Source organism: Homo sapiens, chromosome 5 (assembly GCF_000001405.40).
Source record: "Homo sapiens chromosome 5, GRCh38.p14 Primary Assembly".
Lineage (NCBI taxonomy): Eukaryota > Metazoa > Chordata > Mammalia > Primates > Hominidae > Homo > Homo sapiens.
Genome location: NC_000005.10, coordinates 181,319,946 through 181,337,974, shown reverse-complemented (window position 1 = coordinate 181,337,974; position 18,029 = coordinate 181,319,946). Strand labels below are relative to the sequence as shown.

At 49.3% G+C, this 18,029-nt stretch overlaps 1 long non-coding RNA gene and 2 pseudogenes across 1 annotated transcript; 1 reads left to right on the top strand and 2 right to left on the bottom strand.

Annotated features, from left to right (window-relative positions):
• On the bottom strand, positions 1,651–4,234 carry SEPTIN14P5 (septin 14 pseudogene 5; annotated as a pseudogene).
• CICP15 (capicua transcriptional repressor pseudogene 15) lies at positions 6,079–9,843 on the top strand (annotated as a pseudogene).
• Positions 9,780–14,469, bottom strand: LOC100132062 (uncharacterized). Its single transcript, NR_028325.1, has 3 exons — positions 14,301–14,469; positions 14,016–14,073; positions 9,780–13,922 (listed from the first exon to the last, which is right to left on the bottom strand). It is a non-coding gene; the product is annotated as an uncharacterized LOC100132062 (long non-coding RNA).
• Between the last annotated feature and the right edge of the window lie 3,560 nt (positions 14,470–18,029).

Below are 18,029 nucleotides of genomic sequence, written 5' to 3'. Positions count from 1 at the left end.
ATTTAGCATTAGAAAATTACATTACATATCAAACATAAACCCATTAATCAAATACTAAAGAAATTTCTGAGTTAAATGGTATAATGTTAGCTTATGCCAGAGCTGACCTTGAAAGATTGTTCAAATATGGCTCAGTGTGATTGAAAGTTCAGTGTGAATATGTTTTTGGAAAGATCCAACAGCAACACCTTAGTGTATGTTTTTGAAATAAAATGTATCTGAGTAGCAGCAAAGTTATTCTCAAATTTCCATTTTATAGCTGGAGATGTTATACCGTGACGTATATGATAGGACCCAATATGGATCAATCCCTTTTAGAAGTCAATCAGGAAGAGGGGAGCAGTTAAAACAGTTGCTTGGTTTACAAACATTAGAACAATTTTCTTATTCACACCATCTGATTATTGTATTTTATTTTTTCCCCAACGTTTAGACTACACAATGAGTTAAGAATGATAAAAATAAGCTCACCAATATACTATGTACATATTTACCAAAATCTGTGCATGCTTATACATATAAACACAGCTGATAATTTATTAGTTAGGCTCATTTGTAATTTTTGTCACTATAGACCAGTTTTTTATTTAAATTGAAGATTAGTATACATTTTAAATGATTAGTCAAAATAAAAAATCTAAAATGTGCTCTAAATACCTCTTAGGTCAGAAAAAAAAAGTCAAAAGCTAGAGTATAGAGAAATTAAGAAACGCCCTAAATTTCTAATCTGACAAAAATTCATACAAGATTTAAATATTTTAATGGAAAATAGAACAGAACTAATTATTGAAGAAATTATAGAAAGGAAACAAAATAAACAGATTATATGGAGGATTTTTAGAAGATAAGTAAATAAATTAATATACTAGGAAAAAACAAGGGAAATATACTTGATAAATAAATACAGGTAAGAGTTCTTTTGAAATAATGATAAAATAGAAAATCTCTGTCAAAACTAAAAGGAAAGATGCATAAATATATAAATAAATGATAAAAAATGTTGCATACATATATGACTTTTTCAGAATCAAAAAATTTAAATTTCTGTAATAAAATTTAAATGTTTATAAATTTAAAAAACTAGAAGAAAGAATGTTGACTGTTCACAATACAAATAAATGACAAATATTTGAGGTGATGGATATGCTAATTATCCTTATTTGATCATTGGGCATTGTATACATGTATCAAAATATCACTCTGTATCCCATGAATATGTACAATTATTTGTCTCAAAAACAAACAAAAAAAAGATAATGGGAGAATGTTGAAAACTCAGAGAGAAGAGCAACTCTCACAGATAGGGATCCAGATAACATTAGCAGCTGATTTCTCGGCAGAAACCTTGAAGGCCAGTAGGCAGTGGATTATATATTTAAAATAATGAAGAAACCTGTCAATTGAGAAATATATAGCTGGAAAACTTATCCTTCAAAAATGAAGGAGAAATTAAGACATTTCCGGATTTTTTTTTAAAACTGAAAAAAATCCATTTATCCCTGAATTTGACATTCAGGAAGTGTTAAGTCCTTCAGGTTGAAATAAATGAACTCTAGGCAATAACTATGTAAGTAAATAAGCAAGCTGTATGAATATACAAAGCTCTCTGGTAAAGGTAAATACATAAACATAAAAACAGTCCTATTGTAATTTTGGTTTGTAACTCTGCTTTTTATTTTCTACATAATTTAAAAGGCAAATGCATAAAATGTAATTGTAAATCTGTTAGCTGGTATACAATGAATAAAGATATAATTTGTCACATCAATAACATAAAAAGAGTAGAGCTATATATATAGCAGTAGAATTTTGGTATGTGATTGAACTTAAGTTGAAATAAATTCAAATTAAAATGTTATAACTCTAGGATGTTATATGTAATTCTCATAGTAACCAAAAATGAAATATATATAGAATATAAACAAAAGGAAATGAGACTAGAAACAAAATGTGTCACTACAAAAAAATCAACTAAAGATAAAAAAGAAATAATTGAGAAAATGATTGGCAAAAATCAGTAACTCTGACGTATTAAAACTTTCCATGCTACATAAATCTGAAAACTCTATTTCACATAAAACTGGAGCTGAAAGAAACAAATATTTACCTATAAAGTTAAAAGTTATATAGGGAACAAACACTAATTTTTTTTAGAAAAAATTATAAAAAGAGTAAAAATATGCCTTATACTACCGTAATTTCATGTTTTACAGCTCTGGGAAAATAGAAAATAAAATGTTCTGTTAGCATGAATCCCTCTGTGCCCCCAAAAACCCTATGGATTGCATCATTATTACCTAAAAAGTCTATTCTCAAATGCAGCAGAGTGATATTTTTTACAAGGTAGATATTAATTTTAGATATGGAATAATATTGGTGATTTCAATTTTATAACACTGGGTTAAGATGAAAGAATGAGAAGATAAAGGTCCCTCAGCAATATAACTCACAAACATGTTCAGAAGCAGTAAGAAGTTACATTAATTATCTTTTGAAAGTCGATAATCTACATCTTTAATGTATGCATATAGCATAGCTAATGTACTATCGCTGGGTCCATTTATTCAATGAATAATTGCCGCTATGTGTCAGACATTTTTCTAGGCCTAGGAATGGATACATAAGTGAACAAAGCAAAGATTCTGGTTCTTGTAGAGTTTCCATTAAAAGACCATTTAGTAAAACTTTTCTTCCCCCAAATTATAAAATCTGTAAGATGATTTAACAACATGTGTAAAAGTCATTGTGGGCCAGGCACGGTGGCTCATACCAGGTGTGGTGACTCATAGCACTCTGTCACCCAGGCTGGAGTGCAGTGGCACAATCTCTGCTCACTGCAACCTCTGCCTCCTGGGTACAAGCGATTCTCCTGCCTCAGCTTTCTGAGTAGCAAGGACTACAGGTGCACACCATCACGCCTGGCTAATTTTTGTACTATTAGTACAGACGGAGTTTCACCATGTTGGCCAGGCTGGTCTCGAACTCCTGACCTCAAATGATCCGCCCACCTCGGCCTCCCAAAGTGCTGGAATTACAGATGTGAGCCACAATGCCCGGCCTTATTTTCTACAACTTTGGTAACTTTAGCATATACCCCAAATCTGTAAGACATAATATTATAATTCAAATGCAACTCATGGCTTCTCTTTGTACTCTTTCTCTAGCTTTTGAATTATTTATTCTAATACCAGTTTTAATTCTGACACAAAATCATGGGAGTTCTAATCAAAATCCAACCTTTTATCATAAAAACTATGAAGAAATTATGAGTAGAATTTAAAAAGGAAAATAGGCCTATTAATTAGATTTGTCTTTGTAGCATTTAACTCTATAATAAATAATATTTTATGCCTATGAGTCCCCAACAAAGCCTCCAGCTTCTATTTAGATACAAACTGTAAAAGTCACTACTGGATCCACAAGCAAGACTATGGTAAATAAATTTCTCCACCTAACCAGCTTCTTTTACATGATGTTACATGTTTCTTTTGTTTTTTCATTTTGGCAAATATTGATTGTCATCTTCGTGTTTGTCTATGTCCTAAGTGCTGGGATACAGAATCTGAAAAGATGGACACAGGACCTGCCTTCAAGTTCACCCCCTTTTTTTTTTTTTTTTTGAGATGCAGTTTTGCTCTTGTCACCCAGGCTGGAGTGTAATGGTGAGATCTCTGCTCACTGCAACCTCCACCTCCAGGGTTCAAGTGATTCTCCTGCCTCAGCCTCCCAAGTAGCTGGGATTACAGGTCCCAGCCACCACGCCTAGCTAATTTTTGTATTTTTAGTAGAGACAGCGTTTCATCATGTTGGTCAGGCTGGTCTCGAACTCCTAACCTCAGGTAGTCGACCCACCTCGGCCTCCCACAGTGCTGAGATTACAGGCATGAGCCACCACGCCCTGCTAGGAGTTCACGCTTTAGTTGGGGAAAATATACAATAAGCAAGCCAGTTTTTAAAATGAGAACTGCAATTAGAGTTAAATGCTACAAAGACAAACTCACAGGAAGATGGGATGTAGAATGATAAGGCTCTCAGAATAGTAAGAGAAACTATTGCTTCTTACGATGTTTGTCTTTCTTTGTATCGGTGCTCAGCTGAGTCTGCAGTGCTTCAGAGGCAGCTTTCATTTTATAAAAATCTATGATTTCTCCTTCCAGTTGTTTTTTCTCTTCCTCGAGCTTCCTTATCTCCTCCTGTTGAATCATTTTAAGATGCTCGAACTTGTCCTGCAGCTGTGAAACCAATGTGCAGTTGTGACACCAAAGCAGTGTGGCTGAACACCTAAAAGAATACGCTTTTTTTCTGATTATCAAACAAACCCAAATCATCACAGTAGAGCACGATCTTAATAACAATCTCAAAAACTCAGGAGTAAACACTCAGATATGGAATTTTTCTTTTCTTTCTTTTTTCCTTTTATAAGATGGAGTCTCACTCTGTTGCCCAGGCTGGAGTGCACTGGTGCGATCTCAGCTCACTGCAACCTCCCTCTCCCAGTTCAAGTGATTCTCCTGCCTCAGCCTCTTGAGTAGCTGGGACTATAGGCATGCACCACCACTACAGGCGTGTGCCACCACACCTGGCTAATTTTTGTATTTTTAGTAGAGATGGGGTTTTGCCATGATGGCCAGGCTGGTCTCGAACTCCTGACCTCAGGTGATCCTCCCGCTTTGGCCTCCCAAAGACTTTTTTTTTTTTTTTTTAATATAGAGACAAGTTCTCAGTACGTTGCCCAGGCTGGTCTCAAACTCCTGAGCTCAAGTGATCCTCCCACCTCAGCTTCCCAAAGTGCTGGGACTGACTGGATGCAGTGGCTCATGCTTGTAAACTCAGCACTTTGGGAGGCCAAGGTGGGAGGATCGCTTGAGCCCAGGAGTTCAAGACCAGACTGGGTGATATAACACAATAGTCAACTTCAACAGGAGAGAGAATCTGTAAACTTGAATATAGATCTTCCGAAATTATCCAGTCAGAGGACAGAGAAAAAAAGAATAAAAGAGAGAAAAGAAGGCTGGGTGTGGTGGCTCAAGCCTGTAATCCCAACACTTTGGGAGGCCGAGGCAGGCAGATTAAGAGGTCAGGAGTTCAAGACCAGCCTGTCCAACATGACAAAGCCCCATCTCTACTAAAAATACAAAAATTAGCCGGGTGTGGTGGCACACACCTGTAGTCCCAGCTACTTAGGAGGCTGAGGCAGGAGAATCGCTTGAACCCAGGAGGCGGAGGTTGGAGTGCAATGTGAGCCGAGACCACACATTACACTCCAGCCTGGGTGACAGAGCATGACTCTGTCTCAAAAAGAAAAAAAAAAGAGACAGAGAAAAGAAAGCCAACAAGACACCATTAAGCAAACCATTGTCAGGTTATGGGAGTTTGAGAAGGAAAGTAGAGAAAGGAGAATAAAGCTTATTTAAAGAATGGCTGACAACTGCCTAAATCATGGGAAAGATTTAGACATCTAAATCCATGAAGCTTAAAGATTCCTAAAGAGGTTCAAACCAAATAGATACTCACCAAGTCACAATATAATCAAATAGTCAAAAGTTAAAGAAACTTTGCAGGTCAGGACAGAATCGAATAATACATTCAAAGTGCTGAAAGAAAAAAACTGCCAGCAACTAATACTATGTCTGACAAAGCTGTCCTTCAGAAAGGAAAAAGAAATAACGTGTTTCCTCGACAAACAAAGCTGAGGGCATTCAGGACCACTAGGTCTACCTTAAAAAAATGCTTAACGGAGTTTTTCAAGTAAAAATGAATGAAGTTGGGAGCGGTAGCTCATGCCTGTAATCCCATTTTGGGAGGCTGAGGTGGGTGGATCACCTGAGGTCGGGAGGTCAAGACCAGCCTGGCCAACATGGCAAAACCCCACCTCCAGTAAAAATACAAAAAATTAGCCAGGTATGAAGGCCACTGAGATCGTGCCACTGCACTCCAGCCTGGGTGACAAGAGTCAAACTACATTTCAAAAACAAAAAACAAAACAAACAAAAAAAACAAAACTTGAGGCCTGGCCTTCTGCTCCTCTCCAACCTCCCCTTCTCTGGGCCCAAGCCACCTTGGCTGAGGAGGGGGCGAGGAGGTGTGAGCCCCTGCCAGGAACCCCCTGCCCGGACCAAGTGCTCGGCCCCCAGGCCTGCGTTCAGTGAGGCCTCCCGTGGCGTCAGCATGTTCGTGTGGAGGAATGTGGAAGGTCACTCTGCGGCCGTGTTCTCCTGGTACTCCATCCCCTTCCTGACCCCTCCCTGCAGCCACACGAGGCCCAGCAACCTGCCAGTCACTCAGTGGCCTCCAACCAGAGAAAACAACCTGCCAAGTTGGCAGCCGTTGCTCATGAGCGTCCACCAGGTGGGACAGGGAGTGTTGACCCTGGGCGGCCCCCTGGAGCCACCTGCCCTGAAAGCCCAGGGCCCGCAACCCCACACACTTTGGGGGTGGTGGAACCTGGTAAAAGCTCACCTCCCACCATGGAGGAGGAGCCCTGGGCCCCTCAGGGGAGTCCCTGCTGGACAGTGAGACAGAGAATGACCATGATGATGCTTTCCTCTCCATCATGTCTCCTGACACCCAGTTGCCTCTACCACTCAGATGATGTCAGGCCCAGTCCCTCAGTGCCCTGCGCAAGGAACAGGACTCATCTTCTGAGAAGGATGGACGCAGCCCCAACAAATCAGACAAGGACCACATCCGGTGGCCCATGAGTGGCGCTCATGATCTTCAGCAGGCGGCACCAGGCCCTGGCGGGGCGCACCAGGGTCACCCCAACCAGGATAACCGGACCGTCAGCCAGATGCTGAGCGAGCGGTGGTACACCCTGGGGCCCAATGAGATGCAGAAATACAACCTGGCCTTCCAGGTGAAGGTGGCCCACTTGCAACAAGGACCGAAAGAAGTCCAGCTCAGAGGCCAAGCCCACAAGCCAGGGGCTAGCAGGAGTGTAACAAGGGCTCGTGGGAGCGGAGCATATCAGAGACGGGCACGGCCACTGCCCCTGGGGTGTCCTCTGAACTCCTGTCAGTTGCAGCCCAAACACTCCAGAGCTCGGATACCAAGGAGCAGCTTCTGTGGGGCAGAACGGCTGCACACAGTCAGGGAACCTGGCTCAGCCTGGCCCAAGCCTTCTCCCACAGCGGGGTACACAGCCTGGACGGCAGGGAAATAGACCGTCAGGCACTACGGGAACTGACACAGGTGGTGTCTGGCACTGCATCATACTCTGGCCCAAAGCCTTCTACTCAGCATGGAGCTCCAGGCCACTTTGCAGCCCCTGGTGAGGGAGGTGACCCGTGGGCAGCCCTGCTGCCGCCCACGTGAGCTGCTCATTCCCAGCACATGGCCAGCGAGGTCATAGCGAGTGACGAAGAGCACACGGTCATCCATGAGGAGGAGGGGGTGATGATGTCATTGCTGATGATGGCTTTAGCACCACCGACACCGATCTCAAGTTCAAGGAGTGGGTGACCGACTGAGAGTGGGGACAACTCTGGGGAGGAGCCAGAGGGCAACAAGGGCTTTGGTGGGAAGGTATTTGCACCTGTCATTCCTTCCTCCTTTACTCCTGCCGCCCCTTGCTGGATCCTGAGCCCCCAGGGTCCCCCGATCCACCTGCAGCTTTTGGCAGTCTATGGTCACACCCTGTCCTCCTCCTACACGTACTCGGATGCTTCCTCCTCAACCTTGGCACCCACCTCCTTCTTACTGGGCCCAGGAGCCTTCAAAGCCCAGGAGTCTGGTCAACGCAGCAGAGCGGGCCCCCTACGGCCCCAACCCCTGGGGATGGGGGCCCAGGGACGCCTTCCAAGGTGGCCTGTTTCCTCCCAATGGATCCTGCCACCTTCTGGTGCAAGAGACCTGAAAGTGTGGGCGACCTGGAGCTACCAGGCTCCTCAGTCATCAGGGTCCCTCCCAACACTAAGGCTTTCCTAGGCAGGAGCTGGGCTGAGCCACCCGGGGGGCAGAGCCTGAAGAGAAACTGACTGGGCTTTCGGGGTCGGGGCAGAGGGAACCCCACGGACATGGATCCCACACTGGAGGACCCCACCGCGCCCAAATGCAAGATGAGAAGATGCTCCAGCTGCAGTCCAAAGCCCAACACCCCCAAGTGTGCCATGTGTGATGGGGACAGCTTCCCCTTTGCCTGTACAGGTGGAGAAGCCGAGGACAGGCTCAGGGAACCGGAGACCGAGAAGGCGCTGTCCTCTTCACTGCACGTACCCTGGACCAGTGCCGGCCCTGATCATGCAGCTCTTCCAGGCCCACTGCTTCTTCCTGTCCACTAGGCCACAGCCGCCCTCCAGGCCCACTATGCACACATCTTCCCCTCCAAGGTTTGTTCTGCCCCTGCCCTGACTCCCAGCCCTGTGGGGGTCCTGACCGCACCTCACCTGGCTCAGACTCTTGACGCTGCCCTGGCTGCCCCACCACTGCTTCTGCCCGAGAGTCACGTGAGGCTGAGAGTAGGGGCAGGGGCAGCAGTGGTGCCAGTTGGGGGGCGGTCCAGTGGGAGGAGCCTCAGCCTCGCAGGCTGCTCCGTGGGACTGATGACTGCATGATCTTCTGGGCACCTCACGGATCTTCAACTGCAGGTGAAACGGATGCTGGTGGTGGGTGCAGGGCCGCTGGGAGCTGCTGCATGGTTCCCAGAGGCTGGACTGAGGCAGGTGCCAACTGAAGCTGCTAGGGCAGCATGGGCAGGATGTTCTGCACACAAACCTTGGAGAAGAAGATGTGTGCATAGCAGGTCCACTGCTGCTGCCCCTGCCCTGACTCCCAGCCCTGCCTGACCCCACCTCAACCTGCTCAGGCTCTGGCACAACCCTGGCTGCCCTGCCACTGCCTCTGCCCCAGAGTTGGGGCCTTGACAGCCTGGTTGGAAGGGGACACCCCAGCCCTGCCTCAACACCTGGGGGTCTCCATAACTACCACAGGCAGGTGGGCAACCCCAAAGATCCCAGGACTCACAGTACCCCCTGAGAACATGGACAGTATGTGGGGGTAGCAATGGAGGGCAGGATGGTTATCTTCTCCCAGGTGAAGCCATTTAATCCTTTCAGTTTGGGACGGAGTAAGGCCTTCCTTTTTTTTTTTTTTTTTTTTTTTTTGAGACCGAGTCTTGCTCTGTCGCCCAGGCTGGAGTGCAGTGGTGCGATCTTGGCTCACTGCAACCTCTTCCCGCCGGGTTCACGCCATTCTCCTGCCTCAGCCTTCCGGGTAGCTAGGATTACAGGTGGACGCTACCACGTCCGGCTAATTTTTCTATTTTTAGTACAGACGGGGCTTCATCATCTTGGCCAGGCTGATTTCGATCTCCTGACATCGTGATCTGCCTGCCTCCCCCTCCCAAAGTGCTGGGATTACAGGCGTGAGCCACCACGCCTGGCCAAGGCCTGCTCCTCTTATCTATACCCCCTACCCCTGCAGCTGTGCCGGGGGAAAGCTGGGCAGTTTCCCTCCTCCGAGCCCCTGTACATACCATGAATTGTGGGACCTTCAGAGCTTTTCACTTTTCGGAAAATAGCTCCTGCTGGGGCTACAAGATGGAGTGTGAAGAGGGCCTTGGGCCACAGGGAGGCGCCTGTGGACTAGGGGGAGTTCATGCACCCCTTCTTTCCCCAGAGGGGCTGGACTCAGGTGAGTATGGGGGTGGGGGCTCCTGCACTTCGACACAGGCAGCGGGAGGGTTTTCTCCCCATTCCCTCTGCACTCCCAACTTGAGCTATACTTTTTAAGAAAGTGATTCACCCTGCCTTTGCCCCCTTCCCCAGAACAGAACACGTTGATCGTGGGCGATATTTTTCATTGTGCCAAAAAGTTGCCATGACCGTCATTAAACCTGTTTAACACCAAATAATAAGGAAAATAAAATAAAAAATTCGGGCTTGGCGCAGAAACTCACTCCAAATAAATTACCTATCAAAATATTTACATAATGGTGGAAATATTCCAAAATTCAATATTTTGGGATTTATACACAAAAGATAAACAAATTAGAGGCCAAGAGGCTGCCGGAAGGGAAAAACGGGGCCTGGAATGGCCGACGTGAGGAATGAGCTGGGCCTAAAGAGGCCACTGGCAGGCAGGAGCTGGACCTGCCGAAGTGGCCGAAAGGCAGGAGCTTTGGACTGGGGAGGCCGCAGTGAGGCGAGAGCTAGCTGGGCGTGGAGAGTCTGCTGTGAGGCCGAGGCCGAGGCCGGGCCCGTGCAGGCCTTCGAGAGGCAGGAGGCCGGGCCTGCAAAGGCCGACTGGAGATCAAGTTCTGCGCCTGAAGAGGCTGCCAAAAGTCAAAAGCGGGGCCTGGGAAGGCCGCCGAGAGCCATGAGCTGGGCTGGGCCGAAAGAGGCCACTGGGAGGCAGGAGGAGCTGGGCCTGGAGAGGCTGACTCGAGGAAGTTTTGCACCTGGAGAGGCCGTCGAGAGGACGGAGCTGGGCCCAGGGAGGCCGACTTGCTGCTCTTCCAGGCCCACTTCCAGGCCGACTTGAGGACGACTTGGGCCTGCAGAGGCCGCCGGGAGGCTGGAGCTAAGCCTGGAGAGACTGACTTCGGGACGATTTGGGCCTGCGGAGGCCGCCGGGAGGCCCAAGCTGGGCCTAGAGGAGCCCACCGACCGGAGGCCATTTGGGGCCTGCAGATGTCATCGGAGGGCCAGGAGCTGAGCCTGGAGAGGCCACCGCGAGGCCTGAGCTGGGCCTGGGGAGCTTGGCTTAGGGAAGTTGTGGGCCTACCAGGGCCGCTGGGAGCTGGGCAGGAGCTGAGTCCAAAGACGTTGTTGGGACCTGGAGTCGGGCCAGAGTCCGGCCTGGAGATGCAGCCGGGAGGAAGAGCTGGGCCCGGAGGGGGCGCCGGGAGGCTGCAAGTGGGTCTGAGAGGCCAACTTAAGGAGGCCTGGCCTCTGCCTCCCGCATTGCCCAGCTGTTCCTCCTGGCTGCATCTCCCACCTCCCAGCAAACAAGCTCTTTTGGCTCAGCTCCCGCCTGCGTTTGTAGACCCCGAAGTTTCTGCAACCAAGCTCTTCAGACCCACATCCCTTCTCCCAGTGACTGAACAGTCCCAGCTCCGGCTGGAGAAGGGCGTCTGCAGACCCCGCTGTTGCCTCCCAGGGGAGTCTCCAGGCCCAGCTCTCGCCCCACCGCGACCTCCCAGGCCCAAGTCCCTGCCTACCTCCCAGCAGCCCGAGTGCGATCCTGTTCCTCCCTCACGGTGGCCTGTTGAGGCAGGGGGTCACGCTGACCTCTGTCCGCGTGGGAGGGGCCGGTGTGAGGCAAGGGCTCACACTGACCTCTCTCAGCGTGGGAGGGGCCGGTGTGAGACAAGGGGCTCACGCTGACCTCTGTCCACGTGGGAGGGGCCGGGGTGAGGCAAGGGCTCACACTGACCTCTCTCAGCGTGGGAGGGGCCGGTGTGAGGCAAGGGGCTCACGCTGACCTCTGTCCGCGTGGGAGGGGCCGGTGTGAGGCAAGGGCTCACACTGACCTCTCTCAGCGTGGGAGGAGCCAGTGTGAGGCAGGGGCTCACGCCTCTGGGCAGGGTGCCAGAGGCATGAGTTGGGCATCAACAGGCCACCGTGAGGGAGGAGCTGGGCCGCACGCGGGCTGCTGGGAGGCAGGCAGGGACTTGGCCCCGGGAGGCCGCCGTGGGGGCAAGAGCTGGGCCTGGAGAGGCCCCTGGGAGGCAAGGGAGGGGCCTGCAGAGGCTGTTCTCCAACCAGTGCTAGAACTGTACAGGCCACCAGGAGGCAGGAGGTGGGCCCTCAGAGCTTGGCTGGAGAAAGTTCGGGGCCTACAAAGGCGGTTGGGAGCTGGGCAGGAGTTGAGCCAAAAGAGCTTGCTTACTTGCTGGGAGGCAGGGCCGGGAGAGCCCGACTTCAGGACAACTTGGGCCTGCGGCGGTCGCCGGGAGGCCCAACCTTGGCGTGGAGGAGCCCACCGACCGGAGACCATTTGGGGCCTGGAGATGCCATCGGAGGGCAGGAGCTCATCCTGGAGAGGCCACCGTGAGGCCTGACCTGGGCCTGGGGAGCTTGGCTTGAGGAAGCTGTGGGCCGACCAAGGCCGCCAGGAGATGGGTAGGCACTGAGTCCAAAGAGGTTGTTGAGAGGCAGGAATCGGGCCTGGAGACCCAACCAGGAAGAAGAGCTGGGCCCGGAGAGAACGCCCGGAGGGTGCAAGTGGGTCTGGAGAGGCCGACTTGAGGAGGTTCTGGGCCCGGAGAGGCCGCCGGAAGGGAAAAACTGGGCCTGGAAAGGCCGTTGTCAGGAATGAGCCCCATGGGCCTGAAGAGGCCACTGGCAGGCGGGAGCTGGGCCTGCCGAAGCGGCCGAGAGGCAGGAGCTTTGGACTCGGGAGGCCGCAGTGAAGCAACAGCTAGCTGGGCGTGGAGAGTCCGCTGTGAGGCAGAGGCTGGGCCTGTGCAGGCCTTCGGGAGGCAGGAGGCTGGGCCTTGTCGAGGCCTGCAGAGGCCACCGAAAGTCAAAAGCGGGGCTTGGGAAGGCCGCCGGGAGGCATGAGCTGGGCTGGGCCGAAAGAGGCCACTGGGAGGCAGGAGGAGCTGGGCCTGGAGAGGCTGCCGAAAGGCAGGAGCTTCGCCTGAGGATGCCACAGTGAGACACCATCTGGGTCTGGAGGGTCCACTGTGAGGCAGAGGCTGACCTGTAGAGTCCGACAGTAGACAGAAGTTGGGCAAAAGCCTGATTTGAGGAAGTTTTGGGCTTCAAGAGTCAGCCACGAGGCAGGCACTAGGCCTGGAAATGGCCTCACAGTCATGAGTTGGGCCTAAATGGGCCACTGTGAGGGAGGAGCTGTGCCTGTTGAGGCTGCTGGCAGGCAGGCAGAAATTTGGCCTGGGGCAGCTGCCATGAGGCAAGAGCTGGGCCTGGAAAAAGCCCCTGGGAGGCAAGAGCAGGGCCTGCAGAGGCTGTTCTCAAGTCAAAGCTGGGCCTGTTGATGCCACCGGGAAGCAGAAGGTGGGCCTGGAGAGTTTGACTTGAGGAAGTTTTGGGCCTACATTGGCCGCCATGAGCTGGACAGGAACTGGGCCAAAAAAGGCTGTTGTGAGGCAGCAGTTGTGCCTGTAGACCCAGCCAAGAGGAAGAGGTGGGCCTGGAGAAGCCCCCATGAGGCAGAGGTTGGGCCTGTAGACGCTGACAGGAGGCAGGAGCTGGGCCTGGACAGGTCAACTTGAGGAGATTTTGGGCCTTCATAGGCCACCAGGAGGCAGCAGTTGGGACTAGAGAGTCTAACTTGAGTAAGTTTTGGGCCCGGAGATGACGTCCTGGGACAGGAGTTGGGCCTGGAGAGGCCACCGTGAGGCATAAGCTGGATGTAGAGAGGCCAGTGTGAGGCAAGACCTGGGCCTGTCTAGGCTGCTGGGAGACAGGCAGGAATCTGGCCAGGGAAGGTTGCCATGAGACAAAAGTTGGGCCTGGAAAGGCCCTTGTGAAGCATGAGCTTGGCCTAAAGAGGCCACTGGGTGGCAGGAGCTGGGTGTGTAGAAGCTGCTGAAAGGTTGGGAGCTTGGCTTGGGGGGTCCACAGTGAGGTAGATGCTGGGCGTGAAGAATCTGCTGTGAGGCAGACGTTGGGACTGTAGAGGCTGACGGGAGGCAGAGGCTGGGCCTGGAGGGGCCACCAAGATGCAGGAGCTGGGCCTGGAGAGGCTGCAAAGAAGCATGAGCTGGGCCTGGTGAGGTCGACTTGAGAAAGTTCAGGGCCTGGAGAGAAGGCTGGGAGGCAGGAGCTGGGTCTAAAGAGGCCATTGTAACGATGGAGCTGTGCCTGTGGAGGCTGTTGTGAGGCAGTAGCCTCATCTGCGGAGGCTGCCGTGACGTAGGGTATGGGCCTAAATAGGCCATTGTGAGTCATGAGCTTGGTCTGTAGAGGCTGACTGGAGAAAGTTCTGGGCCTGGAGAGGCTGCCGGGAGGTAGGAGCTGGGCCAAAAGATGTAAGCACATTTGCATTTATTAGGCACTTTATTTCCATTATTACACTGTAATATATAATAAAATAATTATAGAACTCACCATAATGTAGAATTAGTGGGCGTGTTAAGCTTGTTTTCCTGCAACTGGATGGTCCCACCTGAGCGTGATGGGAGAAAGTGACAGATCAATAGGTATTAGATTCTCATAAGGACAGCGCAACCTCGATCCCTCACATGCACGGTTCACAACAGGGTGCGTTCTCCTATGAGCATCTAATGCTGCTGCTCATCTGAGAAGGTGGAGCTCAGGCGGGAATGTGAGCAAAGGGGAGTGGCTCTAAATACAGACGAAGCTTCCCTCACTCCCTCACTCGACACCGCTCACCTCCTGCTGTGTGGCTCCTTGCGGCTCCATGGCTCAGGGGTTGGGGACCCCTGCTCAAGTGCATCCAAAGCGACCCTTCCCACACCAGTCTTCACAGTGGTCAAGGGCAGCAACCACTTAGCTCCCAAGGCATGTGCCTCAGCTGGCATTTCGTCACAATCAACAGTAAGTGGTAGCTTGAGTCACTGTGAGGTCACCTACTGGAAATCACCAGCACCCCATTTCCCACTGGCAAAGAGCTCAGCACTGCCCCCTGGGAAACCAAACCTATGCCCAAATCCCATCTGTGTGGGTTTACCTCCTGGGACCCTTCCTAACATATTAGTCAGAGTCCAATCAGGAAGCATAAACCACTCAAAAGTTTAAAGTGGTAAAATTTAATACAGAGAATTATTCATTATAACAGGTGAACAGCATAATGAGAGATTGGCTAGCACAGAGTAAAGAGAACTCTAGAGAATATGGGACTAGCCCAGGCCAGGCATGGTGGCTCATGCCTGAAATTCCAGTAATTTCAGAAGCTAATGCAGGAGGATTGCTTAAGGCCAGGAGCTAGAGACCGGTCTGGACAACAGAGTGAGACCCTGTCTCTATCCAAAAGAAGAAAAAAGTTAGCTGGGGGTGGTGGTGCACACTTGTAGTCCCAGCTACTCGGAATGCTGAAGTTTGAGCCTGGGAGGTCAAGGCTGCAGTGAGGCATGATTATGCCACTACAGTCCAGCCTGGTGACAGAGCAAGACCCTGTCTCAAAGACCAAAACAGCAACAACCATTTACAGACAGAAAAGAAATAGAGCTAATAAGCTGAGGAAAGATGTTGAAATGTGACAAGTAAAGTAATATGAGTTCTTTTGTCTATGTAAAATAATCAAACAAAAAATGACTTACTAAATTATAATACCCTGTGCTGGCAAAGGTGCAGTGAAATGGGCACCTTCTTATACTATGAGGGGTGTTTAAATTGTGTATAAGCCTTCCCGGGTAAAGCCTGTCAATTTTTTAAAATAATGGAGACAGGGTCTCACCATACTGCCATACTGCCTCCTCCAACTCTTGGCCTCAAGCAATCCTCCTCTCTTAGCCTCCCAAAGTGCTAAGATTATAGCTGGGAGGCACCCAAAACCCTGTCAATTTACATCAAGGGTAAGGAGAATGTCCATTCACCATGACTCACAGTAATCTTACTTCTGGGGAGACAATTCAATCTAAACAAAAGGTCATCTGTACACACACAGTAAAAATCTGGGAGTAACTGAAGACAGAGTTGGTAAGTGAAATAAGAAACAGTTATAAGAAATTAAACTATGGTATCAATAGGCACCTGGTAAAAGGTCAGTTGATGTTAGCTGCTACTTTTTTGTTGTTTTGAGACAGGGTCTCACTCTGTCACCCAGGCTGGAGTGCAGAGGCCTGATCATGACTCACTGCAGTCTCAGCCTCCCTGGGCTCAAGTGATCCTCCCACCTCAGCCTCCCAAGTAGCTGGGACTACAGGAACATGCCACCACACTAGGCTAATTCATGTATTTTTCTGTAGGGATGGTGACTCCCCCTTTGTTTCCAAGGCCTATCGCAAACTCTTGGCCTCAAGCCATCCTCCTGCCTCAGCCTCCCAAAGTGTTGCGATTACCAGTGTGAGCCACCACACCTGGCCAGCTGCTACTTTTATCAATATTATTCTTATTCCACTCAATTAAAAGTTATTATTTTCAAGGCTATGCAACAGTATGTATCCCACAGCATAATTGTAAAAACATATAGTCGTCGTCCCTCAGTATACAGAATTAGTTCCAGCCCCCCATCTCTGCATATACCAAAATCCATGCTTACTCACGTTTCGCTGTCACCCCTCTGGAATCCACGTATACGAAAATTCCAAATGTTAGTTGGGCATAGTGGCAAGCACCTGTAGTCTCAGCCACGTGGGAGGTTGAGGTGGGAGGATCGCTTCAGCCTGGAAGGTTGAGGCTGCAGTCAGCTGCGATAGCACTACTACACTCCAGCCTTGGACAACAGAGGGAGACCCTGTCTCAGAAAAAAAAACAAAATAAAACAGGTTAGAAATTGTAATGAGGTCTGCTGGGCAAAATTCCATATAAGCAAAGTATAAATTAATAAAGCAAATCGTGATAAATTAGTACGATTGACTTTCTGGAGTTTCTGACAATAAAAGTAAGGAAAATGCAGAACACAAAGACAGAGAGTAAAAAGAGAAATTAGGAAAGCATTCTACATGTTGAATAGGAAGACACTGGCCATGTTCGTGCAGCGGCAGTATGTCGTGACATGACATACCTTGGAGAGAAGTTAACAGATGAGGAAGTTGATAAAAATCATCAGAGAAGCAAAATACTGGTAGCGACACTCAAGTAAACCATGAAATTTCCATAACTTATGTCAGCAAAGTGGGAATATTGTACAGTGTGTGTTGAAGTTCCTATACAACATTGTTTATCTGCCTTTTGTTTGTTTGTAAGGAATGTACATACTAAAAGTTCTTCTTGCTGTCAAAAGAATATGTGTGAATAAGTCATTTTAACTTATTCTTCTGTTTTTCTTTTATCTTCCTGCCATCATCCCACAGCCTTACTTTAGACATTTTTTTTTTAGAAAATTGAACAAGTGCTCCTTGTGGTGGCACATGCCTCGAGGATGGGAGGCAGGGGTGGAAGGGTCACTTGAGGCCATTAGTTTGACACCAGCCTGGCCAACAAAGTGAGACCCCGTGTCTACAAAACAATTTAAAAATTAGCCAAGTATCATCATGTATACCTACAGTCCCAGCTACCTGAACTTACTGAGAAAGTTCAGAGCCTGGAGAGAAGGCTGGGAGGCAGGAGCTGGGTCTAAAGAGGCCATTGTAACGATGGAGCTGTGCCTGTGGAGGCTGTTGTGAGGCAGTAGGCTCATCTGCGGAGGCTGCCGTGACGTAGGGTATGGGCCTAAATAGGCCATTGTGAGTCATGAGCTTGGTCTGTAGAGGCTGACTGGAGAAAGTTCTGGGCCTGGAGAGGCTGCCGGGAGGTAGGAGCTGGGCCAAAAGATGTAAGCACATTTGCATTTATTAGGCACTTTATTTCCATTATTACACTGTGATATATAATAAAATAATTATAGAACTCACCATAATGTAGAATCAGTGGGCGTGTTAAGCTTGTTTTCCCGCAACTGGATGTTCCCACCTGAGCGTGATGGGAGAAAGTGACAGATCAATAGGTATTAGACTCTCATAAGGACAGCGCAACCTAGATCCCTCACATGCACGGTTCACAACAGGGTGCGTTCTCCTATGAGAATCTAACGCTGCTGCTCATCTGAGAAGGTGGAGCTCAGGTGGGAATGTGAGCAAAGGGGAGTGGCTGTAAATACAGACGAAGCTTCCCTCACTCCCTCACTCGACACCGCTCACCTCCTGCTGTGTGGCTCCTTGCGGCTCCATGGCTCAGGGGTTGGGGACCCCTGCTCAAGTGCATCCAAAACGACCCTTCCCACACCAGTCTTCACAGTGGTCAAGGGCAGCAACCACTTAGCTCCCAAGGCATGTGCCTCAGCTGGCATTTCGTCACAATCAACAGTAAGTGGTAGCTTGAGTCACTGTGAGGTCACCTACTGGAAATCACCAGCATCCCATTTCCCACTGGCAAAGAGCTCAGCACTGCCCCCTGGGAAACCAAACCTATGCCCAAATCCCATCTGTGTGGGTCTACCTCCTGGGACCCTTCCTAACATAT